Source organism: Homo sapiens, chromosome 13, assembly GCF_000001405.40.
Source record: "Homo sapiens chromosome 13, GRCh38.p14 Primary Assembly".
NCBI lineage: Eukaryota > Metazoa > Chordata > Mammalia > Primates > Hominidae > Homo > Homo sapiens.
This window is the reverse complement of record NC_000013.11, coordinates 39,340,408-39,368,241: the sequence shown is the minus strand read 5'-3', so window position 1 is coordinate 39,368,241 and position 27,834 is coordinate 39,340,408. Positions and strand designations below refer to the sequence as shown.

At 40.1% G+C, this 27,834-nt stretch overlaps 1 protein-coding gene across 2 annotated transcripts in view; it reads left to right on the top strand.

Moving 5' to 3' along the window:
* LHFPL6 (LHFPL tetraspan subfamily member 6) overlaps positions 1–25,350 on the top strand; it is a 260,302-nt gene extending 234,952 nt beyond the window's left edge. For both annotated transcript variants that reach the window (XM_011534861.2, NM_005780.3), the window contains exon 4: positions 24,188–25,350. In XM_011534861.2, coding sequence (XP_011533163.1) covers positions 24,188–24,306 — 119 coding nt within the window. In that variant the 3' untranslated portion in view covers positions 24,307–25,350. The remainder of the gene's footprint in view (positions 1–24,187) is intronic.
* The last annotated feature ends 2,484 nt before the right edge of the window (positions 25,351–27,834 follow it).

Below are 27,834 nucleotides of genomic sequence, written 5' to 3'. Positions count from 1 at the left end.
CTCCTGCCTCGCCCTCCCAAATAGTTGGGATTACAGGTATGCACAACAATGCCCGGCTAATTTTTGTAATTCTTAGTAGAGACAGGGTTTCACCATGATGGCCAGGCTGGTCTCGAACTCCTGGCCTCAAGTGAGTGACCCACCCGCCTTGGCCTCCCAAAGTGCTGGGGTTACAAGCATGAGCCACCATGCCTGGCTGGATTTTACATCTTTGAAGCATTGATGTTTATATGTTCTGGCTAGTAGTTTTTAACCTCCTGATTTGGGGTCATGTTTTGGATAGGTGGAGATGTTATTAATACTTAATTGATATCTGGCTAAGTAAGCTACTTTGGGTTAGCAACTGGATGTTTTGATGACACTGGTAGAAGAGTTAAATGTTATGGTAACCTTTGATCTTCAGACTGATTTTAACTTAAGGTCTCCAGACCGTTTAAGTGGCTCATAGTCCATCAGTAGGCTTCAGAGAAATTCAGAATCTACTGAAATGCTTTGCAATTTTCATAGGCTTTTGGACATGTGCTTTTTTCTGGAGAGAATATTCATAGCTTTTGTTATTATTCAAATGGATTCCTGACACCTGAAGACTTAGAACCTATATAGTAAACAACATTTGGAAGTCTTACATGGGAAAGCTTAGAGATCTGAACTCTAGACCTCACCTCCCAACAATCCTCAAATTCCTCCAGAAAGCTAGAACACAGTTGAACCCCTTTGACTTGATTTCATTATCTACGAAAGTATTTGTTAAGGGATATTATACAGAAACGCACCTCTGCTTACAAGAAGTGTTATGCAAATAAATGCTACCATACAATAGTTCCTTTGTATTTTTATTTTTTAAGCCATTTTTGTCTTTTTTATTATTTCAAATTTTATTTTAGATTCAGGGGATACATGTTCAGGATTGTTACATGGATATATTGTGTAACACTGGGGTTTGGGGTACAAATGATACCATCATCCAGGTAGGGAACATAGTACCCCATAGGTAGTTTTTCAGCCCTTACCCCTCTCTGTTTTGCCTCACTCTAGTGATCCCCTGTGTCTGTGGTTCCCATGTTTATATCCATGCCATGCACCAGTTCTAATTCAAAATCACATCTGTGAAAATGAGTGTTCAGCCTTCCTAGTGAATTGAATATGCTTCCACTTAGGATCTTAGCCAGTTTCATTAGTGCCGCTGTTGGAGATTGTTCTTCACAGATCTCTTGTGTGTTAGCACAACTTGTCAGCACAGACACTCTATTCTGAACTATCATTTCGAAGATGTTTGTGTAGTAAACAGTCTTGGAAGTAGAGCAGAGGATAGGTGTGTTTAGTGTCCATTATAATAAAAATAATGCCTTTCTCTGGGGTAAATAAAGATTGGGCAGATTTTATTGCAGTCCATTATAAAAGATTTGAGTTCCCTTAGTTTGGGTTCCTCAACTGTGACACAAACCCACTATGTTTGTTGCATTCATCTGGGCTGTTTCACATCAGCCCCTGTGAGGAGAGGGCAACAAAGGGAGTGGACATAAACATGGAGCTCATGCTGCCTGCTGTGCTGTGAGTAATACAGTCCTTTGTCTCTGATCCAGGAGTCTCCTATCTTTTGCCAGCGTCCACAAAATTGTGATAGTATAACTTGTTACATTGCAAATAGAGTAAAATATCAAACCTTCACAGTTCTTAAGACTACTGTTACAATGCCTATAGTTCCTTGAAAAATACTTCATCATAGACAGTGATATATGGGTATTATTTAAGGGAAACCACAACTCGAGTGCATATTCCGGACTGGATACTCATGGGTGCTAGTACAAGTGGTTCTGTTATTCATATCTTGACTAACACTGGAAGCTTTACTAATTAGCACAGCAATGATCAAAATGGACTTTTATTGGTAGAATTAGATCTTATTAAATAGCATGATGAATATTAAAAATGGACTTTCATTGGTGAAATTAAAAATACTCAAGATTGTGGATTGGTAGAATCCACATAAGTAGTTAGAGACACTCCCTATTTTTGCTTGCAAGGATTTAAGCATCCATCCAGTCATAGTGTTATCACTCTAAGTCTGAGTGATATTCAAAATATTTAATAATCAATATGTCATAGGCTATGAAAAATGTGAGCTAAAACAAGTACTGGCCATGTGCAGAGGCTCCCATGGGGCCCTCCTTTGCCAGGCACTAGCCCTTTGGTTTCTGGGATGTGAGGCAAGGATTCCCTAGGGTTTTCAAGGGAAGAAAGGGTTTTGGGGGAACTTGGGGCAGTGGCTGTTTACCTACAGACAGAGGTACATATTTTAGTATTTTGATACCCAGTACAGCCTTACTGATGCATTCCATCTGTGCCCTCACTATTCTTAGGAATGGTATCCACGGCTTGATCATCCCTAAAGTGTTCAGTTTCTAGTCTCTGGTTTGGAAGATTTCTGGTTTTTTGTTGCCAAAGAGAACAGAATCCTGCCATGGAACCTTGCTGCATTTTCCCTAGCAGTTTATTCAAGAAGTTGGTCGTCCAAATACCTAAAAAGAGAGCTAGGACTTAACTAGCTCCCAGGTCAGTTTGATGTTTTGTGCCTGCTTTTTGATGGCTATTTGTTGAATAAGTGTCTGTATGTGTAGGAGGATTTGTTCCGAGACTTGCTTTCATTATAAGTTGGAAATGAGATTGTGGAAGAGTATCTTACCACGTCTTGCACTTTTTCAACAGATTGTAATTTACCAAAAAGAGTCTCAAGGCTATGCTTGCCCAAATTGAATGAGGTTCGTTCCCAAGAGCTACTGTACAAGCAAAAAGGGATCATCAAGGAAAACCTTTTAGATTGAGGGCAGCTAACAAACATCAAAGCAGTGCTTGCTGCAGTTCCGTTCCGGTTCTCTAGGTATGTAACCGGATACCTAGAGAGTATATTCAGAGACTGCTTGGTGGCCAGTGGTAGTATGACCGGTACAGACAGGGAGGGCAGATTAATAACATCACGAGGAAATGCAGCACCTCTTCACATGGGTTTTATAGGAAAATGGCTGCAGCCATAGTTCACATGGAGGAGCAGTAATTAGAGACAGACTGGTTCTTTTCACACTGTCTTCTGGGCAGTCCATGAGTCAGAGGAGCTGGATTTCAGGTATTTCCAGCCTTTATAAATAGCAGCTACAGACAGAAACTGAAGGATAATCTTTATCACCATACACTAAATAAAGCCTGATTGGTTATCTTAGCCACCCCCACCTGGAGATCAGATTCTGTGTCAGTTCACAGTGTGAACACAAAGGCCACCACTATACATTGAGCCAACATGTTTGCTTTATCATCTTAACAGTACATCATCTCTAAGGAAACTTTTAGGATGGATTCAGTGCTAAGAAGCAAGGATTGATAGCAGCTGTGCTAGCAGATACTCAGCTGGCCAGACAAGACAAAGGGTAAACCATTTTTTGTGTGTAAGTGGCACAAATGTGTATGTTAAGAAAACTATTGGGTGGGGGGTTGAAGGGTGCAGCAAACCACCATGGCACATGTATACCTATGCAACAAATCCGCATGTTCTGCACGTGTATCCCAGAACTTTTACAGTTAATTAAAAAAAAAGAAAAGAAAAGAAAGAAAACTATCCACCGGGCCACAGAACAGAGGTCCATTTGATTGGTGTGATCATAAGAATTCAGAAGCCGCTCCACTCGTCCTGCTGAAATGTGGTTATGTTTCTGGAGAAGCCAGAGTATTTCTGTTTCTTTTGCCATTTCTCTGCATTGGGGGAATGCTAAATAGGCAGAGCATCTGCCACCCTTTCCATGGCATGTGCTTCCTACTGGGATTTCAGGATGGGGTGACACAGGGCCTTGACTCAGTGGAATTTAGGAGGAAGGACCCTGGATGGATCTGATGGAAGGAAAAATAATTAGGTTTGGTGTGGTATGAAAGGGAAACCCCACAGGACTCTAGATAAGAGGGGAAGTGCAGAGAGTTTGTTCCTGTGCAGCCATACCCAGCAACATCACCTGGACATCTAGTTCTCAGATCTTCCAGGGCCGGTTTCTCTGATTGGCCCATCTCTACTCTCTTCCCTGCCACATAACCCTGCCCCTTTTGTTTTCTAACGATCTCATTTCCACAAGTAGTTTACTTATATTGACATGAAGTACAGTCACGCACTACATAATGATGTTTCAGTCAATGATGGATCGCATGTGTGATGGTGGACCCACCAGATGAGGATGGAGCTATGTAATGGAGTAGGCTATACATCTACGTTTGTGTAAGTATACTCTATGATGTTTGCACAATGACAAAATCACCTAATAATGCATTAGCAGAGTGTATCTCCATTGTTAAGCAATATATGTCCCAATGTGTATATATATCCCAACGGCCTGGTTTATTGATGAAAAATTTGTTTTTTTCCCATAACTTTATAGCTTTTTGTTCTGGGTGTGTGAAATTAAAAGAGCAGGCAGGTAATTATGTGGTGCAAGTACCCAAAGAGTCAGGACTGCATTTTTAGATTAGAGTAACCCAGCATCACCGGCCTGCTTTAGACTGGGAGCCAGGAAATTACAAATTATAAACAAAGAATAGGACTCAGCTACTGAAGAGAACACATTCAAGAGACATGGGAAAGCCCTGTCGGTGTCCTGGGGAGCAGTGTTCTCATTGGGAAAGTACGGGAGATGGCTTACATCAGGGGTTGGCAAACTATGGGCCAAATCTAGTTTGCATGTTTTTGTAAATAAAATTTTATGGGAACACTGCCATGCTCATGTGTTTATTTGGTGACCGTGGTTGCTTTTGAACTACAATATTTACTATCTGGCTTCTTTCAGAATAAGGTTGCCAACCCATGACCTAAATGATCCTTCTCCTAGGTCCCTCTGTCTCTAAAGTCTGTGATGCTATGATGCTCTGGGTGGCAGAAGTGACAAGGATAAAATCAAAAGGATGCAGAAACAGAGGGGTGATGCACTGGCTTTTGACAAGGCTTGAATTTAAAAGAGGCTCTGTCCTGTTCAGGTCTAATCCCTTTCCTCTAATCCCTGCCTCCCATCCCTTCTGCCTTCCTGTCTTGCCAGGAGCACTCACAGCTGGAGCTGCCTGGGGATGACTTTGATTGCACAAATAGTCTTTCTCTTTGGAAGACAGGCTTTGCTTGTATAAAATCCTTCAAATGTATCAGCTGGAAAAACCCCTTTTTTCAGTGGGAAATATTGTTTCCCACATCGAATATATAACCACTTTACCTTGCCAGGCTGGGGAAATTTTGTGGAGGAAAATGGGCTCTGTGCCCCGATGTGTTTCCCTCATCCTCTGGGCAGCTCCTGCTGGAGAAGATGGATGACACTCTGTTCCTTCCCCACTGGACACAGGTCCTGCACACTTATTCATCTCCTGAATTGTCTCACGGGAACATTGTATGATTCGTGCTGGTGTGTCATCTTTATTTAATTGATTCAATTTGTAGGTTGTTTGCTCAGTTGGGTATGGTTGGCAGGAATGGGATGAAGTTTTGTGTTAGATGGGATGTGGCCAGAGGGCAGGAACCAACTGAGCTGCCTCACCGTGTGCTGTGCTTAACAGAGCCACACAGAGTGTAAGAGGGTCATTGAGTATTTTCATGAGGAAAATTACAGAATAAAAATGGCCATTATGCAGGTGTCTCATTTTGCATATCATATGGTCAATATGTTTATTGATTTCTTGCTCCTTAAACTTACAAGAGTAAAAGTCCCCACTGATTTTGTGTATACTTATACATATACATACACCCATTGTATTAGTCCGTTCTCACACTGCTATAAGGAACTACCTGAGACTGGGTAATTTTTAAAGAAAAAAGGTTTAATTGGTGCACAGTTCCACAGGCTGTGGAGGAAGCATGGCAGGGGAGGCCTCAGGAAACTTACAGTCATGGCAGAAAGCAAAGGGGAACCAGGCACGTCTTACCTAGCCGGAACAGGAGGAAGAGAGAGAAAGGGGGAGGTGTTACACACTTTTAAACAACCAGATCTCGTGACAACTCACTCACTATCATAAGAACAGCAAGGGCGAAGCCCACCCCCATGATCCAGTCACCTCCCACCAGGCCCCTCCTCCAACACTGGGGATTATAGTTTGACATGAGATTTGAGCAGGGACAAAAATCCAAACCATGTCACATAGATATCTTCAAATTCTTGTTTATATTTGTGTAATTTTGATTTTGGAGTAATTTTAGATATATAGAAAAGCTACAGAATAATACAAAGAAGTCCTATATTCCTTTCACCTGGATTCCCTTAATGTTTGATTTCATCACACTGGGTTTATCAATCCCTACCTCCCTCCTGCCCTTTTCCCTCCTTCTGAGACATGCTGCCCTCCCAACCGTAGATACTTAAGTGAGTAATTCCTAACAATAACATTCTCTTATCTGGCAATGCAATTACCAAATTAGGAAATTAACATTGATAAAATGCTATTATCTAATCTACAGACCTTATACCGATATATTTTACATACAGAATTATTAATAAAAGAAATGGAACTCATTTCCTTGTGCTGGGTATTGTTTGTCATGGACTTTCTTTATGCTTACGGTTTGCGACTTGCAAAATATAACAAATGAAAAGCACATTTAAAATCTTAAGAGGCTCAAGGGCCAGGCACGGTGGCTCACGCCTGTAATCCCAACACTTTGGGAGGCTGAGGTGGGTGGATCACAAGGTCAAGAGATCGAGACCATCCTGGCCAACATGGTGAAACCCCATCTCTACTAAAAATAGAAAAATTAGCCGGGTGTCATGGCATGCACCTGTAGTCCCAGCTACTTGGGACACTGAGGCAGGAGAATCACATGAACCTGGGAGGCGGAGGTTGCAGTGAGCCAAGATCACGCCACTGCACTCCAGCCTGGCGACAGAGTGAGACTCCATCTCAAAATAAAAAAAAATAAAAAAAATTAAAAAAAATTCTTCAGAGGCTCAAAATTTGAAAGAAAAAAAGTTGCTTTCTTCACTAACTTCATTCTGATGTTAGAAATTGTTAAGATGTCAGAAAAGTATTAATAGTGACGGCGTTAGTAATAATAATGATGGCTAGCAATGTCTTCCATCCTCTGCTGTATAATTTGGGCTCAGCACTGCTGACCCTTGTGTCAAGTCCAGCTACTGGTCAGTGTGTCCTGCCCTTTCACAGATTTGAGCAGCTGTGCAAGTATGAGATCTCATATAGGTATTTTCTGGTAAATTCTTGTGTTGATGATGGCCGGCACCATTTCTTTGGAGGACAATAACTGGTACAAATAAATGGGCACAAACCTGTTATTTTCTTTTGCCCACAGTCTCTTACCTTGAAAGTGGAGCTAAAACATTTGAGGGGGCGGGCAAGAGAGATTCAACAGAGCAAATGAAAACTATGGCTCTTCAGCAAAATTTTTGTGGGAATCCAGAAGGGAAACTTATACCATTGAATATAAAAGAATGCATTTGTAATTCAGAAAGGTTTTTTTTTTTTTTTGTCCCCTTACAATCTGAGGCCCATCTAACATGTGCTCCTATTTGAGCTTAGCGTTTGAACAGCTGGTCATTGCCCTCTAATGCATGTCTCTGTAGAGCTCTTTCCTTACTCCTCCTACTCCAGCTACAGAATGGATTAACCTACACTGGATAAAATTGACAAGGCTGATATATATTTTCCCATCAAAATTCACCCCTAACATATCTCCTTAGACATAGCACTGTTCTGTTATGAGCTCTTTGCCAATACACATCTTATCTTTTCTAGAGCATAAATCTCTGCTCCCTTTGACATGCGTGGTTATGGAGAGCGCTTAATGCCATAGCTTGAGTGTGTCAGTTCTTACTGATGAACACATCTGCATTTTATCTTCTGGTTAGCTCTGTGGAGAAAGTAGGGCAAACAAAAAAGATGAAGGGAGTCTTTAAAAAATGTCTTGGCTGGGCACAGTGGCTCATGCCTGTAATCCCAGCACTTTGGGAGGCTGAGGCAGGCGGATCACGAGGTCAGGAGATCGAGACCATCCTGGCTAACACAGTGAAACTCTGTCTCTACTAAAAATACAAAAATTAGCCGGGCGTGGTGGCGGACTCCTGTAATCCCAGCTACTCTGGAGGCTGGGGCAGGAGATTGGCATGAACCTGGGAGGCAGAGCTTGCAGTGAGCAGAGATCGTGCCACTGCACTCCAACCTGGGCGACAGAGCGAGACTGTCTCAAAAACAAAACAAAACAAAACAAAACAAAATCCTGTCTCCTCTTTCTGTTGAAGTGGCTCCAATACTCTAAGCTAGAACATCATACATCGAGGCATACTGCGTGCTTTGGGGAAAGGTGTTATCCCACTTTTAAGAGAGTCCAAATCCTACCATGCAGTCCTCTAAATCTGATAATAAATAACAGAACAGGTCAAAAGAGCCTTGTATGTTAGAGTCACATTAGAGAGCAGAGCTGCAGTTTTTTTTTTCTTTTTCAATGTTTATTTTAGATTCTGGGGGTACATGTGCAGGTTTGTTACAGAGGTATATTGTGTGATGCAGAGGTTTGGAGTATGATTGAATCCGTCACCGAAGAAGTGAGCATAGCACCCAATAGGTAGATTTTCAACCTTTGTCCTACCTCCTTCTCCTTGTATTCCCCAATATCTATTGTTCCCATCTTTATGTACATGTTTATCCAGTATTTTGCCCCCATTTATAAATGAGAACATGTGGTATTTGCTTTTCTGTTTCTGCATTAATTTGCTTAGGAAAACGGCCTTTATGTTGATTTTTTTTATGGCCATGTAGTATTCCATGGGGTATTTGTATATTTTCTTTACCCAATCCACCATGGATGGGCACATGCCTTTGCTATTGTGAATAGTGCTGCAGTGATCAATACAGGTGCATGTGTCTTCTTGGTAGAACAATTTATTTTGGGCATATACCTAGCAGTGAGATTGTTGAGTTGAATGGTAGTTCAACTCTTAGTTCTTTGAGAAATCCCTAGACTGCTCTCCACAATGCCTGAACTAATTTACATTCCCGCCAGCAGCGTATAATTTCCCTTTTCTTCACAGTCCTGCCAACACCTATGTTTTTAGGTGTTTTGTTTTGGAGACAGAGTCTCACTCTGTTACCGAGGCTGGAGTACGTGGTGTGATCTCGGCTCACTGAAACATCCGCCTCCCGGGTTCAAGTGATTCTCCTGCCTCAGCCTCCCGAGTAGCTGGGATTACAGGCGCCCGCCCTGCTGATTTTGTATTTTTAGTAGAGATGGGGTTTCACCATGTTGGCCAGGCTGTTCTAGAACTCCTGACCTTGTGATCCACCCTCCTCGGCCTCCCAAAGTGCTAGGATTACAGGCGGGAGCCACCACACCCAGTCTATTTTTTCACTTTTTAACAAAAGTCATTCTGACTGGTGTGAGATGGTATCTTGTAGTTTTGACTTGAATTTTCTGATGATTAGTGATGATGAGCATTTTTTCTTTCACATGTTTGTTGGCCGCTTGTATATCTTCTTGTGAGAAGTTTCTGTTCATGTCCTTTGCCCACTTATTAATGTGGTTATTTGGTTTTTCCTTGTTGAATTGTTTAAGTTTCTTACAGATTCTGGATATTAGGCCTTTGTCAGATGCATTGTTTGTGAATATTTTCTCCCATTCTGTAGGCTGTCTGTTTACTCCGTTGATCATTTCTCTTGTTATGCAAAACCTCTTTAGTTTAATAAGGTCCCACATGTTGTTTTTTTTAATTACAATTGTTTTTGAGGACTTAGCCACAAATTCTTTACCCACACCTATGTTGAAAGGGTGTTCACTAGGTTTTCATCTAGAATTTTTATAGTTTGAGGTCTTACATCTAAATCTTTAATCTCTCGAGTTAATTTTTGCATATGCTATAAGGAAGGTGTCCACTTTTATTCCTCTGCATATGGATAGCCAGTTATACGAGCACCATTTATCGAATAGGGAATCGTTTCCCCATTGCTTACTTTTGTTTACTTTGCCAAAGATCAGATGGTTGTAGGTGTGCAGTTTTATTTCTAGGTTCTCTATTCTGTTCCATTGGTCTCTGTGTCTGTTTTTGTACCAGTACCATGCTGTTTTGGTTTTTGTAAATTTGTTGTATAGTTGAAGTCAGGTAATGTGATGCCTCCAGCTTTATTCTTTTTTCTTAGGATTGCTTTGGTTATTCGGGCTCTTTTTTGGTTCCATACGAATTTTAGAATTTTTTTTCTAATTGTATGAACAATGATGTTAGTAGTTGATAGGTTGCTCTGAGCAGTATCTACCAACCTACAAAGTTGGTAGATTGCTTTGAGCAGCATGGTTATTTTAATGATATTGATATTAATGGTTGGTAGCTTTTTAAGTTTCTGATTTCTTCCAATTTATGAGCATGGAATGTTTTTCCGTTTGTTTGTGTCATCGATGATTTCTTTCAACAGTATTTTGTAGTTCTTTTTGTAGAAATCTTTCACTTCTTGGTTACATGTATTCCTAGGTATTTTATTTTTTGTGGCTATTTTAAATGAGATCACATTCTTGATTTGGCTCTCAACTTGAATATGATTGGTGTATAAAAATGCTACTGATTTTTCTGCATTGATTTTGTATCCTGAACCTTTACTGAAGTAATTGAAGAGTACTAGGAAGCTTTTGACAGAGTCTTAAGGGTTTTCTAGGTATAGAATCATATCACCAGCAAAGAGAGATAGTTTGACTTATACTTTTCTTATTTGGATGCCATTTGTTACTTTCCCTTGGCTGGTTGCTCTGGCTAGGGAGCCCAGTACTATGTTGAATAGGAGTGGTGAAAGTTGGCGTCTTTGTCTTGTTCCAGTTCTCAAGGGGAATGCTTCTAGGTTTTGCCCATTGAGTATGATGTTGGCTGTGGGTTTGTCATAGATGGCTCTTTTTATTTTGAGGTGTGTTCCTTTGATGCCTAGTTTGTTGAGGGTTTTATCATGCATTAGAATTGGTACAAAACTCTTCTTTGAGTGTCTGGTAGAATTTGACTGTACATCCATTTGGTACAAGGCTTTTTTGATTGGTAGCTTTTTACTTTTTTTGTTTTGTTTTGTTTTATTTATTTTTTGTTTGAGACAGGCTGTGGCTCTGTTGCCCAGGCTGGAGTGCAGTGGCACCATCTCGGCTCACTGCTACCTCCACCTCCCAGGTTCAAGCCATCCTGTCACCTCAGCCTCCCTAGTAGTTGGAACTATAGGTTCATGCAACCACACCCAGATAACGTTTTATATTTTTTAATAAAGATGGGGTTTCACCATGTTGCTCAAGGTGGTCTCGAACTTCTGAGCTCAAGTGATCTGCCAGCCTTGGCCTTCCAAAGTGCTGGAATTACTGGTGCAAGCCACCATGCCCAGCCTGATTGGTAGCTTTTTAAGTTTCTGATTCAATTTCAGAACTCATTATTGGTCTGTTCAGGGTTCAATTTCTTCCTTGTTTAATCTTGAGAAGTTGTATGTTTCCAGGAATTTACCTATTTCCTCTAGATTAATGACTTTGTGTGCATGGAGATGTTCATAATAGTTTGTGAGAGTCTTTCGTATTTCTGTGGGATTGGTTATAATGTCATCTTTGTCAATTCTGATTGTGCTGTTTTGGATCCTCTCGCTTTTTCTTTGTTAATCTAGCTAGCAGTCTATCTATCATGTGCATCCTTCCAAAGAACCAAGTTTTGGTTTGATTGATCTTTTGTATGAATTTTTACATCTCAATTTTGTTTAGTTCTGCTGTGATTTATTTGTTTTCTTATGTTTGCTTTGGTGTTAGTTTTTTCTAGTTTTTCTTTTCCCACAGATATGATGTTAGATTATTAACTTGAGATCTTTCTAACTTCTTGATGTAGGCATTTTGCGTTATAAAGTGTCCTCTCAACACTTCTTTTGCTGCATCTCAGATATTTTGTTATGTTGTGTCTCTGTTTTCATTGATTTAAAAGGATTTTTTAAATTTCTGCCTTAATTTCATTGTTTATGCAAAAGTTATTCAGGAGTAAGTTAATTTTCATGTAATTATGTGGTTTTGAGAGATCTTCATGGTATCAATTTCTATTTTTATTTCAGTATGGTCAGAGAATGTGCTTGGTATGATTTTACTTTTTAAAAATTTATTGAGACGTGCTTTATCGCTGAACATGTGGTCAATCTTAGCATATGTTCCTTGCACAGATGAAAATAATGTGCATTAAGTGGAATATTCTGCAGGTGTCTGTTAGGTCAAATTGGTCATGTTGAGTTTAAATCCAGAATTTCTTTTTTTGGTTTTCTGCCTTAATGATCTGCCTAACACTGTCAGTGGGATCTTGAAACCCCTCACTATTTTTGTGTGACTGTCTAAATCTTTTCATGGGTTTAGAAGTGCTTCTTCTATTAATCGAGGTGCTCTAATGTTGGGTGTTTATACACTGAGGATAGTTAAGTCTTCTTGTTGAATTGAACCCTTTATCGTTATGTAATGCCCTTCTTTGTCCTTGTTCACTGTGGTTGGTTTGAAGTCTGTTTTATTGGACATAAGAATAGCAACCCCTGCTCTTTTTTGTTTTCCATTTGCACAATACATCTTTCTTCCTCCCTTTACTTTGAGCCCATGGTTGTTATTACATGTGAGATGGGTCTCTTGAAGACAGCAGATGGCTGGGTCTTATTTGTTTTACCCAACTTGCCACTCTGTACCTTCTAAGTGGGGCATTTGTACCATTTACATTCAAGGTTTATATTGATATGTGAGGTTTTGATCATGTTATCATGTTGTTAGCTGGTTGTTTTATACTTGATTGTGTGATTATTTTATAGGATATGTGTACTAGGTACTTAAATGTGTTTTTGTGGTATCAGGTACTACTCGTTCATTTCCATGTTTAGAGGAAGGACATCTGGTAAGGCTGGTCTGGTGGTAATGAATTTCTTTAGCATTTGCTTCACTAAGAAGGATTTTATTTCTCCTTTGCTTGTGAAGTTTAGTTTGGCTAGAATGAAATTCTTGGTTGGAATTTGTTTCCTTTAAGGATACTGAAAATAGGCCCCTAATCTCTCCTGGCTTGTAAATTTTCTGCTAAGAAATCTGCTGTTAGCCTGATGAGGCTCCCTTTGTAAGTGACCTGACCCTTTTATGTAATGGCCTTTAAGATTTTTTTCTTTCATGTCAACCTTGGAGAGTCTGATCACTATGCATCTAGTATGGTACCTTGCTGGGGTTTTTAGAATTTTTTGAATTTGAATGTTGACTTCCCTAGTGAGATTGTGGAAATTTTCATAGACTATATCCTCAACTGTGTTTTCCAGATTGCTTACTCTCTCTCCTTCTTTCTCAGAAATGCCAGTGAGTCGTAGGTGTGGCCTCTTTCCATAGTCCCATATTTCTCAAAGGTTTTGTTCATTCTTTTTCATCCTTTTTCTTTATTTTTTCCTGAATGAGTTGATTCATCAGACTGGTCTTTGAGCTCTGAGATTCTTTCCTCAGCTTGGTCTATTCTGTTATTAATGCTTCCAACTGTATTACGAAATTCGTGCAGTGAATTTTTCAATTTCACAAGTTCAGTTTGGTTCTTTCTTAAAATGGCCGTGTCTTTTTAATCTCTTGGATTATTTTACTGGTTTCCTTGGATTATTTTACTGGTTTCCTCGGGTTGGATTTTAACTTTCTGCTGAATCTTGTTGAACTTCTTTCCCATCCATATTCTGAATTCTGTGTCTGTTATTTGAGCCATTTTAATCTGGTTAGCAACCATTTCCGGAGAGCTAGTACGGTCATTTGGAAGTAAGGAGACCCTCTGACTTTCTGAATTGCCAGAGTTCTTGCCTGATTATTTTTCATCTGAGAGGGCTGGTGTTCTTTTATCTTTTTGAAATTGTTGTTGCTTGGGTGGGGCTTTTTATTTTTTTATATTCTTTATTTGTCTGAGGGTTTGACTGTGGTGTATGTCATGTACAGTCAATTGGCTTCTTCTGGGTGCTTTCAGAGGCCCAAGACTCTGTGCAGGATCTTTATTTGTGGCTAGATTCCTGCACTTCACCAGTGATGTGTGGTGAAAGAATTTTTGTTTGATGGTGTAATTCAGGCTGCAATCCAGTGGACGGTGCATACATGTAAGGGCTGGCAGATAGGCTCTTACTCAGTGGCACACTTCTTTCATATTTCAGTGCATTCACAGCAGCAGTGGAGAGCTGCAGTTCTTGAGAGGAAATACTGGTCCCACCCACTGCAGTGCTGCTCTGGTGACTTTGGAAGCATCAAGATGGCCTCCTGGGATATTTTGAAAATAGACTCAATGCATGGGATTTGTGAGATTCTACCATTACACACACCTTCTCACTACCTATTCTTTTGGGGAATACTGTGCAGGGAGCGGTATTCCCATTATATGCATGTGTGCAGCACCTCACCCCCAGGGCACATCCATTAGGAAGCCCATAGAATGCAAAATAAATAGACGCCTTGGAGTTGTGTATAGGACAGCCCTGACAATCAATATGAGTTTATACTTTTTGTAATAAGCAGACATAAAGAAACAGGAGTTTTTTTGTTTGTTTGTTTTTTGTTCTGTTGCCCAGGCTGGAGTTCAGTGGCACAATCTCGGCTCACTGCAACCTCCGCCTCCCGGGTTCAAGAGATTCTCCTGCCTCAGCCTCCCTAGTAGCTGGGACTACAGGCGCATGACACCACACCTGGCTAATTTTTTGGTTTTTTTTAGTAGAGACTGGGTTTCACCATGTTAGCCAGGATGGTCTCGATCTCCTGACCTCGTGATCTGCCCGCCTCAGCCTCCCAAAGTGCTGGGATTACAGGCATGAGCCACCGCGCCCGGCCGCAAAGTAGCTTTTAAAAAGCACCACACCCCACAAACATTCTTCTCTCAGCCGTTTTACTTCTACATTTTCTGCCCACCAACCAAGTTTGGGTGGTCTTCTCTTTATAGGCATATGACAAATCATTTTTACTACTTGTCTCATTAAAAGTTTTATTTAGGATCAGGCGTGGTGGCTTACGCCTGTAATCTCAGCACTTTGGAAGGCCGAGGCGGCTGGATTATCTGAGGTCAGGAGTTTGAGACCAGCCAGGCCAACATGGTGAAACCCCATCATCTCTACTAAAAATACAAAAATTAGCTGGGCATGGTGGCACACACCTGTAATCCCAGCTACTTGGGAGGCTGAGGCAGGAGAATACCTTGAACCTGGGAGGAAGCAGAGGTTGCAGTGAGCGCCATTGCACTCCAGCCTGGGAGACAGACTGAGACTCTGTCTCAAAAAAAAAAAAAAAATTATATATATATATATATGTGTGTGTGTGTATGTATGTATATATATATACACACATATATATACATTTATATATATATACATTTATATATATATACACATATATATACATTTATATATATATATACACATATATATACATTTATATATATATACACATATATATATATAAATGTTTTCCCTCTTTCTACTGATCCTTCAACCTTCCTGCCTTCATTATTAATACAGCAACAAGGATACAATCTAATATGTATCCTTTTTTACCCAAACTTTACATTTAAATATTAACATGTTAAAATTTTCAAAATATCACAGACAAAAGATATTCTGCCTGGATAAATGAAGTCAGTCAGCTTATCATATCCTGACTCAGACACTATGGCTACAAGGCATTATGGGTGCTCAGCAGTGACTTTGTGGGGAAAGAGAAATGGGGATCCCATGGAGCTCAAGTTCAAGAAAAGAAACTGTAAACATGGAGGTTTTGTGATAAATGGCATGCAGTCAGAGGGCAGGAACTGCCCGAGTTACAGTGTCCTGTGCTGCGCTTTCCAGAGCAATACAGTACACAGTGGAGGGCGCTACCATGGAGTCTCTGGGTGAAAGTTAGGATGGTATGGTGGCACCAGCCAAACTTCTGAGGGTTCATAGGCAGACAGCAGCTCTGGAGTGGAACTAAAGTGTATCCAGGAGCTGAAGCTCTTAATCAGCTAGGGCTCACACAGAGTCAAGGTAGGGTCAAAAACATTCAGTCTGGGACCATATCTAGAGGCAGTTTCTCCTGCAGGTAGCATTAGTTATCTGTTCCTCAAGCAAGCTTATTTTAGACATCACATTTCCACATCCTTAAAGAAGATGCATTGCCAAAGGTGCCAAGTGTGGTTTCATTGCCTCAGGAATTGGGGCTGTCAAGTCTTTGCAAGGTGCAGACCTTTAGCAATTGAAACCATGCTGTTGAACATGGGCATTGTCAAAGTAAAACTTTGGCTGAATTAAATTTAAAGGAGTTTAATTGAGCAATGAACAATTCGCAAATCAGGCAGCCCCCCTGTATCACAACAGATTCAGAGAGACTACTGGGGTGCCTCATGGTCAGTACAAATTTATAGACAAAAAAGGAACGTAACATACAAAAATCAGAAGTGAGGTACAGAAACAACTGGATTGGGTACAGTTTGGTGTTTGCTTTATTTGAATATAGTTTGAACACTCAGCAGTATATGAGTGGTTGAACTATGGCTGCTGGGACTGGCGAAGACTCAGCAATTATTACGGGTGCGTACTCCTAAGTTAGGTTTTCAATCTTGTCTGCCTATTAAGCTAGGTTATAGTTCATCCACAAGGACTCAAATATAGAAGTACAGAGTTATTCCCAGGACATATTTAGTTCACTTTAACAGCATGTAGTCTTCTAAGAAGACTGGCAAATTGAAGGGGTAAGGTAAAATATGTTTTATTTTTTTCTCGGGCATATAAGTGCCAAGACAAGTACTATTTAACAAATGAGAAAAATGCATTTGATTAAGATCTTTTTTTATACATTATCTGAGCACAGGAAAAAACTCTGGAATCAGTTTGACCCAAGTTCCGAGTTCAAGCTTTGCTATTTATTTGAGATAATGGGTAAGTTACTTATCCTTCAGTTTCTGCATCTTCAAAGTGAGAATAATGTTGGAAAGTATAAACAGATCAAGGATCCTAGACAAAAATGATTAAAGGAGAGACCCCTTCATAACTTGTAGCCCTTCACTTGCTGTCTATATATGACAGCTGTTATATGACGATTAATTTTGTATTTCTATTCTTAGCACAAGTATAACGTCTGATATCCATTCATGCCACAAATGTGTATCGGTTGTTGTGATCAGGTCATCATACTGAGTGCCCGAATAGAACATTGAAATAAGCAGACAGTCACACTTGGTAGGCTCCAAATTGTTAATTGAACAAATTAATGAAAAGGCAGAGGTTAAACTCCAGTGTCCTTAAAAGATGAAACGATCACTGGAATTCCATTGTTATATGTAATAAGACTGGATTCTTTGTACCTCTCTTTCTGTCTCTATCACTTCCAAAAGCTATACTAAAAACTAATTTGAGCCACCGTAAGAAATCAGCAACATCCCTCCCCACCCCTATCTCTACTCTGGGGCTGCCCTGGAATTCCGCCACAGTCTTTTTCTGTCGACTTGGCAGGTGGCTATGGTATGCTGCTTTCTGTCCCATTAACCTCTATTTTATCTGTCAAGAATAGTATTCCCCATTGTTGAAAGCAGTAATTTGCCAACCAAGCAAGCTTGGAGTCCTGTTTGATGGAGCATTACGGAGAGCAAAAGGGAAAGTTTAAACAGATTTCCTTCTCTAATTTCCTGAAAGGATCACAGACAAAACTTGCCCTCTGGAAAAATGCTTTCTGTTTGCATTATAATAACAAGCATTTATTGCCATGACAGGCATAGAGGGAGGCCATGGAAGAATGGCCCTGTATTTCCTGGTTTTATTTAGTTTCATTACTACTCATGAAGAGTATGCAGAAACACTTTTTTTCTATGACTGTAAAACATGGTGCTAATTTCTTGTTATTGAGCACATAGGTTTTAACAATAGGATCATGCTCAGAGAGAAAAATCTATTTTTCCTTTTCCTTTGGAGAAGTTCAAAGTGACAAGCCTGTGCCTGGTAAACCTTTAATCTCTCACAGAATTCTGGATGTTTTGCTTTCACATTTATAGTTTTATGAAAAAATCCTATTGTATCTGGTTTATTTCATTGAACTGAATTTCTACAAAACATGTGTAATATACAAGGAATGTTTCAGAATAATACAGCTGATGTGAGTGATATGAACTGGAAAGTAAGCTTCATGAGACCAAAGACTCTGTCTGTATTGTTCCCGGCTGCGTTTCCAGCTTCTATAACATAGCAAAACAGGTAGCAGGAGCTTAAGATTTATTTGTGACTGTTAAATACCTCATATTCCTACCCAACAATACAAATGACAGTTTCAAAGAGGGAATTTTCAGGCTTCAAGCTCCGAACTCTAGAGGTGGTCATACCCAAACCCATCCCTTGCTTTACACCCAAAATGGGATCCATCTCTTACTTGAGCAATACTTTAGCAAGACCCAAATCTGTCTGCATTTCTCCATTATATTTCCCATCCCCTCACTCCAAGCATACTGTTCCCTGGCCCCCCACATTCACGCTTGGCTCACTCCTGAACATCTGCAGGTCTTGGCTTAGATCTCACTTCTAATTTAAGGCTCTCTTTCACTGACCTGACCGCACTACGTAGATCACTTGCAATATGCTGCCTTCGCATCCTGGATTTTTTTCTTCAAAGCACATATCACAATTATCAGTATAGAAATGTCTCATTATTGCTTAATGCTTATTTCCTTGACTAGACAATAAGCTTCTTGATAGCAGGAATTATATTATTCCCAACAAAGCTCCCAGTACCCAGTGATTCATTCATAGTTGGAGCTGGCACTCACTGAATGTTTGTTGAATCAATGAATAAATTGAGAGAGGGAGCGAGGAAAGGAAAAAGGAAGGGAAGAAGAAAATCAAGAATCAGGGTTGGATGACAGTATTTTTTCAGATTTGCTTAAATTCTATTGACACACCTTACTCTAACTAGACTGATCTTGACCATTTTTCTCAAAAGACATGTATGCATATGTACTTTTGTATATTTTTTGAGGCTACTTTGATTGGCTGGCTATATCTCAATATAATTTGTAATACTAGAACAAATTCATATTAAATCACTTTTTGAATTAATAATTATTTTAAAAATTACTTAGTAAATGAAAAAGCCTTCATGTCTTAAATGAAGGACTCTTTTTCTTTTAAATCACATTGAACATTAACAGCTCATTTTGGACCTTAACCAGTTGTTGAATTTTAATCCCAAATTTTGTAAATCATACACACAAACTTGCATATATGTCTGATTGGTGGCCATATTTTCTTATATCCTCAAACATTTTCTGCTATTATGTTACACTCTTTAAAGATCTTTGCTTAATTTTCTGCCAGTTTTCATCTGATAGACATTTAGCCTGATACGTTAACTACCTGTTTTATGACATAAACAGGAATGGATCCAGATAACAATGACTAGAAATTACAATTACACCTGAGCAAGACAAGGATTTGCCCTAGGAAGAGGGTAGTGTGGGGAGAGTGGGAGAGAGCTGGTGCCGAAAGCTCTGCTCTGCCTCTCTCAGGGGATAGCAGGGCTTGGGTAGGCGGGTGGGGTGGCTTAGCTTCTGACAATGGTAGAAACTTACAGATCCCTTGACAAAGAAAAGCAAGAAAGTCTTTGTTCATTCACTCCTTAGATCTGGTTCCCCAGAGTGCATCCTGAGATGAGGATTTGAGTTCAAGTGATTGAGGAAATGTGCCAAGGAAAAAACAGTGGGGAAGTGGAAAAGCAAGGTAGGGAAGGAGTAAACACCCAGCAGGGTGCAGTTTGTCATGAGGGTTCAGCCTCAGCCTGAACTCACAGGGCTGGGAACATTCATTATCATTACACTGCAGACTTTGTTCCACCCGGAGGGAAGAAAGCCCGGTGTGCACACTCCAGTACAAGTACATCGCTGGCTGTGGGTCACACCAGGGGGCACTTCAGCTGTCAGAGAGCTGGGACAGAGTAATGCCAGTCACTCATGGGTCCTCTGAAGAGCGTTGCAAATATAAGCTATTGGGAGCAAAGCACGAACAGAAGCTGGAGATTGAGAGTCCAGAACCAGCAAAGGGACAGAGAGGAACTGGCTGGAGAATCTACAGCATCGGCTGTAGCTCCCCTGCCACTTACGAGACCCTGAAGCTTAAACTTCTGCTATTTTATTGACTTCTCTGCCAAAAACAAAAGCAAAACCAATACTATCCTCTCTCTCATTGTCCTCTGATAGCCAACCCTTTACTAGCTTCTTTTTCCATCTTTGTTTAATAAATGTGTCTACTGTCACATACACTGTTTTCAAATAATTAGCCTCAGCAATTTTTTCTTAAGTGCCAAATAATTAATAAAGAATTATATACTCTACTTTTCATGTTAGGTCATAGAACTATGTATAGGTCAATACATTATTAATAATGAACAATTGATTGTATTCTGTGTTATGAGCCCAGTGCTAAACAGATGGACCACAAATTTTGCCAACTCTTTGAAATGTTCTACACGATTGGCCATCTCTTCTCTACCTATTAATTAATTCCCCCTCATAGGTGTATTTAATCTAGCTAAAGAATAATTCAAAATGGAGATTATTCCCAAGACTCACAACCACATTAGTTCATGGTTGTCAGCAAATCTGACCTGTGAAGGGGGACTCGGTTACCAGTGAAAAATGCTTATTCTATCTGTATTAATGGAGGTCATTGTGCCAGTGAGACCTACCCAGAGGTGGAGAGGTGATCTTTCAGAATCTGTTACCCCGTTAAATTTAGCACACTCTCTAGATGAGGCCGGAAATACATACTTGGTTTGGGAAGTTCTCTCCAAAATTTCAGTGCCAAAACAGGACACGAGTTACTCTTAAAATGCTAGACTTACTGTTTTTCAGGTATTAGCTGCCTGCCCGGTTTGCTTCCTTTCTGCTTTTCTTTTACCTTGCCTTTCATTCAACAATTATTTATTAGGTGTTTACCAGAGGCCTGGCATTTCCACGATCTGGAAGTAGAATTTCTGGGTGGAAGGAATCACAAGTGTGAAGCTCTCATGTCAGCAACAAGGCTGATGTGCTCCAGAAAAAGTGGTCAGTGTGGCCAGAGACAAGACACAGGAGAGAGTGGTCATGAAGTGTGAGAGGTCAGCAGACATTTAAGCCCTCATAGGCTATAGGAAGGACATTGATTTTTGAGAATTCATTAACGGGGCTTTTTTTTTTTTTTTTTTTTTTGGAGACAGAGTTTTATTCTGCCATCCAGGCTGGAGTGCAGTGGTGCAATCTTGGCTCACTGCAACCTCCGCCTCCCGGGTTCAAGTGATTCTTATGGGTGGGCCACTTGTGCTAATTTGCTCTGTGTGCTTGATGTCTGTGTGCTTATGTAATGGCCTAAGAACTTTTAAGATGTGGAGGCTCTTGATCAAATTTGCCCGGCTAATTTTTGTATTTTTAGTAGAGATGGGGTTTCACCATGTTGGCAAGGCCAGTCTTGAACTCCTGACCTCAAGTGATCCAGCCACCTTGGCCTCCCAAAGTGCTGGGTCATTACAGGGTTTTAAGTAAGAGCATGGCTTGATCTGATTGATTTTTAAAAAGACAGCTGCCTACTTTGCTGTTGGTGATGATATGAGTAGAAGCAGAGAGACAAGAAAGCAATGACAGCAGACGAGACTGCCTGGGGGATGATCGGGCGTTTGAGAAGGGGCAGGACACAGGATAGATATAGGGGAGAGTGGCAGAGGACTTGCTACTTATTAAGGAGAAGTCCTGGAGCAGCTTATTAAACTTTCCCTGGCCTCAGTCTTCCCTTCTGAAAGATGAGAATGATACTCATATACCTACCACATTGTGTTCCTATGAGAATTTAAGCATTAATATTTACTCCATGTAAAGCTCCATGACAATTTTGAGAAAATGGTAATCAATACACATTTGCTTATTTTTTAATTATTCATTGGATGTGGAAAGGGAGAAATCAAGGATGACACCTAGGTTGAGGACTGAACAACATAGCTTGATGTCTGTGTGCTTAGGTAATGGCCTAAGAACTTTTAAGATGTGGAGGCTCTTGATCAAATTTTGCTGCTGTTGACTCATGGTGACCACAAGCCAATAACTCCCTTAGCTCTGTCTTGCGTTGCCTTTTTATCTGCGCCTGGGGCACATGCTAACTACTTCTCCAGTAAACGTCCAGTGAAGATCCAAAGTTTAATTGCACATTGTACCTAACAGTCTTGGAAATTTTCAGCAGGGAAGTTATTAATTTTTCACAAATGAACAAGGTAAAAGTGGCTGTGTTCCGCGGTGAGCAGGTCTATGCAAACCCCACCCCACAGGGTGAGAGGCTGAGAAAAGAGGTGAGGAAAGAGGCTGACACGTCCAGTTTCTCAGAAAGAAACATTTGATAGGGACGTACAAACAGAAGCCATGTCTCTGGCAGCTGTGAGATGGTGGATCTTTGCACCTGCCCTCCAGAAAGCAGCCTTTACATAGCAAGCTTTTAGGGTACAGACAAGTGCAGCTGGTCACATCTCACACTTCCTTGCCAAAACTTGTGACCTCTAGGGAGATGAGATAAACGTCTTTATGAAAGGTTATCTATGCCATAGGCATTGTTTCTTTATGGGGGGTTATCTACGCTGTGGGAACACTTCGGTATGCAGTAGTCAAACGCTGGTTGTCATTGAGGTTTCACTTCAGTGTCACTCTTGCCAAGCAACAGGCTGTTTTCCTGCAGACTGACTTGTGAAAAGAAGGGATGTGATTTTCTTTCTTTTTTTTTTTTTTTTTTTTTTTTTTTTGAGATGGAGTCTCGCTCCCTGACCCAGGCTGGAGTTCAGTGGTGTGATCTCAGCTCACTGCAACCTCCACCTTCTGGGTTCAAGTGATTCTCCTGCCTCAGCCTCCTGAGTAGTTGGGATTACAGGTGCCCACCACCATGCTTGGCTAATTTTTGTATTTTTAGTAGAGACGGGGTTTTGCCATGTTGGTCAGGCTGGTTTCAAACTCCTGACCGCAGGTGATCCACCCGCCTTGGCCTCCCAAAGTGCTGGGATTACAGGCATGAGCCACTGCGCCCAGCCCCGTGATTTTCAATCTATGGCCTTTATGTTCAGTGACTGTGAAATCCAAATGTCTTGGTGTTTATGTTTGTATCTAATGTAATGCAAAGCAAGAACCAAAAGGAGGAACATGGTTGCTGTTGGAGCATCATCTGATAAGATGGTAAGACCGGCTGAAAAATGAATTAGAATTGAAGCAGAAAGTACAGTGTCCAGTATAAGATATAGAGGCCTTCTTTACTGTGCACACAAAAAGAATAACTTGGATGTCATTAAGAAAGAAAAAGCTAATGAATGCAGAAATCCATTCCATTAACCCATCTGGGGACACCGACCTATTCTTGGGATCTAGAACCCAGATTTGAGCCCTGGCTCACTTTATTCCAAATTATAAGCATATGACTATGGGTAAGTCACCAACTTCTTTAAATGCTGAGAAGCTTTTTTGTCAACCATGTTGAGCTAGTATTCTACCTTATAATGTTGATAAAAGAATTGACAAAGACAATACAGATAAATAAATCTACTTACATATTTTTAATATTTTGGGTTTGTTATGAATATTAAGACTAATCCAACTCTGAGAAATCAGGACCCACTTGGATGCTTGTCATTATATTTTCATTTAAATGACACTTTATCTTCAAGGTGAGTGTTGATCCCAGAAGAATCTGGGAATTTTTGTTTTCTGATTCAGACAGTAGAGAGTAAGTCACTTGACCATTCCACATAAATGGCAGTATTCACCTTAGCATTAGCCATTATCCTTCAAATGGGTTGCCTCCTCAAAGTGGCCCTTTTGCAGAAGGATTGCATCAACATTTATATTTTTTTCCCTAAAGTACTTTGTTACGCAGGTGAGCTTGGGTGATGTAAGTTACAATTAACTCCTTCATCTCCTATCCTGGTTGCTGCCATTCTTCTCTATTTTTGGCCAGGGTGTGGATATTGGTGGAGGAGACTAGACTTCTCTTAGCCCGTGTGAGAGGTAGACATTGAGATCCTTCTGAAATGCATCCAGCCATTCTTGCTTTCTTCACTGTCAAGATAACTTTCAGCACATTATTATTCCATTTAAGCGAGGATACCATATTCCTAAAGGGTGTTTCAGAACCCACACACTGGAAGCAATAAGAAACCCTGCTGCAAAATCATCCTCATCTGTGACTTTCTTCTTTCCCCTTCCTTTGTCCTTAGGGAAGTGTGAAATCGGCTGGGCCTACTACTGCACGGGAGCAGGTGCCACTGCCGCCATGCTGCTGTGCACGTGGCTGGCTTGCTTTTCGGGCAAGAAACAGAAGCACTACCCATACTGAGATGGAGCTACCAAGAGCAGACAGAGGAGAAGATGGGCCAAAGGGGCTTGGAGAGGTCAAAACATCCACCTACCTTCAAAAGGTGGGATAGTAGTTCTAATCCAATACAATGCTAATAAAATGAAACCCGATAAAATCAGGAACATGATATAGGAAGGAAGGATTGTAGGAGATTTGTGGGGGAAAAAAAAGGAGAGTATAGAATGATGGAGAAAAATGGACCAAAGGCTAAAAATATTGCAGGGCATCGGGTGTTTCTATTCCACAGAGTATTGTTAATGTACAACACACACACACACACACACACACACACACACACACACACACACACAACAAATCTACATATACAAACAAGGGTTTGGGTTTTAGTTTTTTTTTTTTAAGGTGAGGACTCAGAAAATCAAAGGGCTAGTAGAAACAGTGTTATGTTGGGAAGCAGGGTACCCCCAAAGATGTTCCCTGTAGGTCACGGCACTCCCAAAAGCACACAAGCACATACAGACATATGCATCCCCACACACGCCTATGCACAAACGTGGATTATCGCACAGACTGGGAGGTTTAGTGGTGCATTTCTCCTCTGTTTTCTTTTTAATATACATTTAAAATACAGTATTATCACTTTATAAAACATACATTAAGCCTAATAAATGGACCAATAAGCCAAACTATCAGTATTTTGTATATCCTGCATAAACTCTAATTTAGTTCCTCAACATATTTTCAGTGTTTATGCAGACCTTTAGAGTTAAGCCTTTGTATTTCCATGTTATTCCACAATATGCAATATTTCTCTGAGTAGCTTCTGCTATGATATTCTTATGAAGAAAAGGGGCAACTTTCTGTCCACTATAGGAGAGAATTCAGCCGAAGATATGAGAGTAATGAGAGACATTTTCCAGTCATTGGATCGTGTTTTCTTTTGTCCATTATTGTACTGTGCTGTACCACATTTATTTCTATATTCATTTTGTAAAAAATTTAAAAGTGCTATTTTGTTTGTATTTGAAAATCTCTGTGAATAAATTCTCTCTTTGATCAATAGCTAGATGAGTCATGGAGTGTTAATTCAGTCATCGGATTTGCTTCTTTAATTTCTCCAATGTAGCTCTTCAACTACTATAGTCCTGTAAAATTTCCTTTTCTCTTTTAAGGCCTCTCATTAATTCACTCACTAATCAACCAGGCATTGTTCTAGGCACAAGTGTATTAAAGATGAGTAAGACAGTTTCTGCTTTCAACGTGAATTCTTTGCAACCAGAATTCTAACTTCCTGCTTGTTACATTTCAATCATAACCAAATTCTGAGGACAGAAGAACTTCAGGTCTGTTTTGTATTAAGTTTGAGAATATGGGTGGTATTCAGATGTGATTTAGGGCAACAAGAGCTAGACTGTGGTTCAGGAGGTGACTGGACTGACAGTCACCAGCATGGTGACACGACTGTTACAGTTGCCAGTGACTTGCTGTTCCTCCAGCTTCTACAAAGTGCTGGGTTTCTTCTGTACTTCTGTGTCAGGGAAAATTTTATATCACTGCCCTTCAGGGATGTTGGCCATTTGAAAAAGCTTATCTCAACAGCCCTGCCCCTCCAGCAGAAAGTCTTCACCAAAGAGAAAGGTTTGGACCCTCACATGGCCCCTTAACAGAACTAGCTCTTTCAGGGCTAGGTGTGATGGCTCACACCTGTAATCCCAGCCGAGGTGGGGAAATCACATGAGGCCAGGAGTTCGAGACCAGCCTGGCCAACATGGCAAGACTCCATCTCTACTAAAAATACCAAAAAAAAAAAAAAATTATTAGCTGGGCATAGTCATGCACTCCTGTAATCCCAACTACTCAGGTTGAGGCACAAGAATCGCTTGAACCCAGGAGGTGGAGGCTGCAGTAAGCCGAGATTGCAACACTGCACTCCAGCCTAGGCAACAGAGCGAGACCCTGTCCCCACCAAAAAAATAAATAAATAATAACAAATAACAAAAACTAGCTCCTTCAGGAGCAAAGATTGCATTCTGAATATTGGATCTAGCCTTTTGTTTAGTAAGCCTGAGATATTGTAGCAAATCCTTAAGAATTCAGTTTCAGTTAGCTTCTACATTCATTGTACTTTTCAGATTTGGCAATTGAACATGCTGGCTATTTATTCATGTAAGTACATTTTCTATGCTATCTATACACATTTATCAATTTAGTTTGAATATCTGACTATTCCACTTGCTTCTGGTACTTTTAATCATTCCAGGATGAGAAGCCATGCTGCTCTGGAAGAACAATACAGGATCTGACCAATAAAATTCTACACTCTGAGGCTTTGTTGGTGTGGAGAAAGTCATTCCACTCTCAGATGCTTAATTCATATTGTGCTGAATGTGATTTGATTGTGTCTCATTGTCTGCTGAGCAGGGGCTTCTCCACTCTGTGGTTTCCGGCAGAGAAGAAAAGATTGCACTTTGCTTCCTCAATTAGCCCATTATTTTCATGTATAGCTGGTGCTTTTCAAATTTCTTTTAACTGCACCTTCCTGTAGAGTAGTGTTGTGACTTCTTAGCTCCCATTATCAAGTTGGAGTTCTCTAGGGAATTCATTAAGATCTAGTTCCTTGGACAGATTTAATGATGACATTGTCATTTTTATGTAGTTCATGTGATTTTAGACATTAGTGAGCCTCACTGGAATAAAAGATCAGCCACTCTACTGGTAAAGTCAAATGACAAACTCTTATATGGCAATGGCAAATTCTGGCTAGTCATATCATTTTTTTTTTTTTTTTTTTTGCTCAAGATGTCCCAGCATTTTAATAGGAACATCTAAGTTATTAAGAATTACATATACTGCTTTTGAAATGAAAATCACAATTCATAAGCTAATAACAATAACAAAGTCAGTGAAAAGTATATATTCACAGCATTCTTACTGATATACACATGAGAGACAATAAAAAGCTCAATTTTCACAACCTTAAAAGCTTTCATTGCTTGCACATGCCTGTGCAGTAAATGGGGAGTTTACCTTGTTTTTAGGAAGAGAAAATGACATGCAAAGAAGTGAATTGATGAAATTTAATTGACTCTAGTCATTGAACACCTGCTACTTGGTAGGTATTCTACTAGACATAAAACGCTAAATAAAATACAGCCCATGCTCTCAAGTCAGTCATAAGCTCATGGAAAAAAATAACAGGAGCATCAGTGATTACCAAATCATATGTCAACTAATTCTCAAAGACAGGGAGGAAGTTCCTCCCAAGTAAAGAATTCTGCACAGACAAATTAAAAAGGTATAAAGAAAGATGAAAGATGATATATTACAATGTTCTGCTCTTCAAAAATCATCATTAAGAAAATAAAAAGATGTGTCAACGACTGGAAAAAGTTATATATCTGGTAAAGAACTTGTATTCTGAGTACATACATGACTCTCTCAAATGAATAATAAAAAGGACAATCCATTTTTAAAGGGTAAAAACATGAATGGGGTATTTCCCAAAAGACAATATACCAGTGGCCAATTACACTGAAAAGGTGTTCA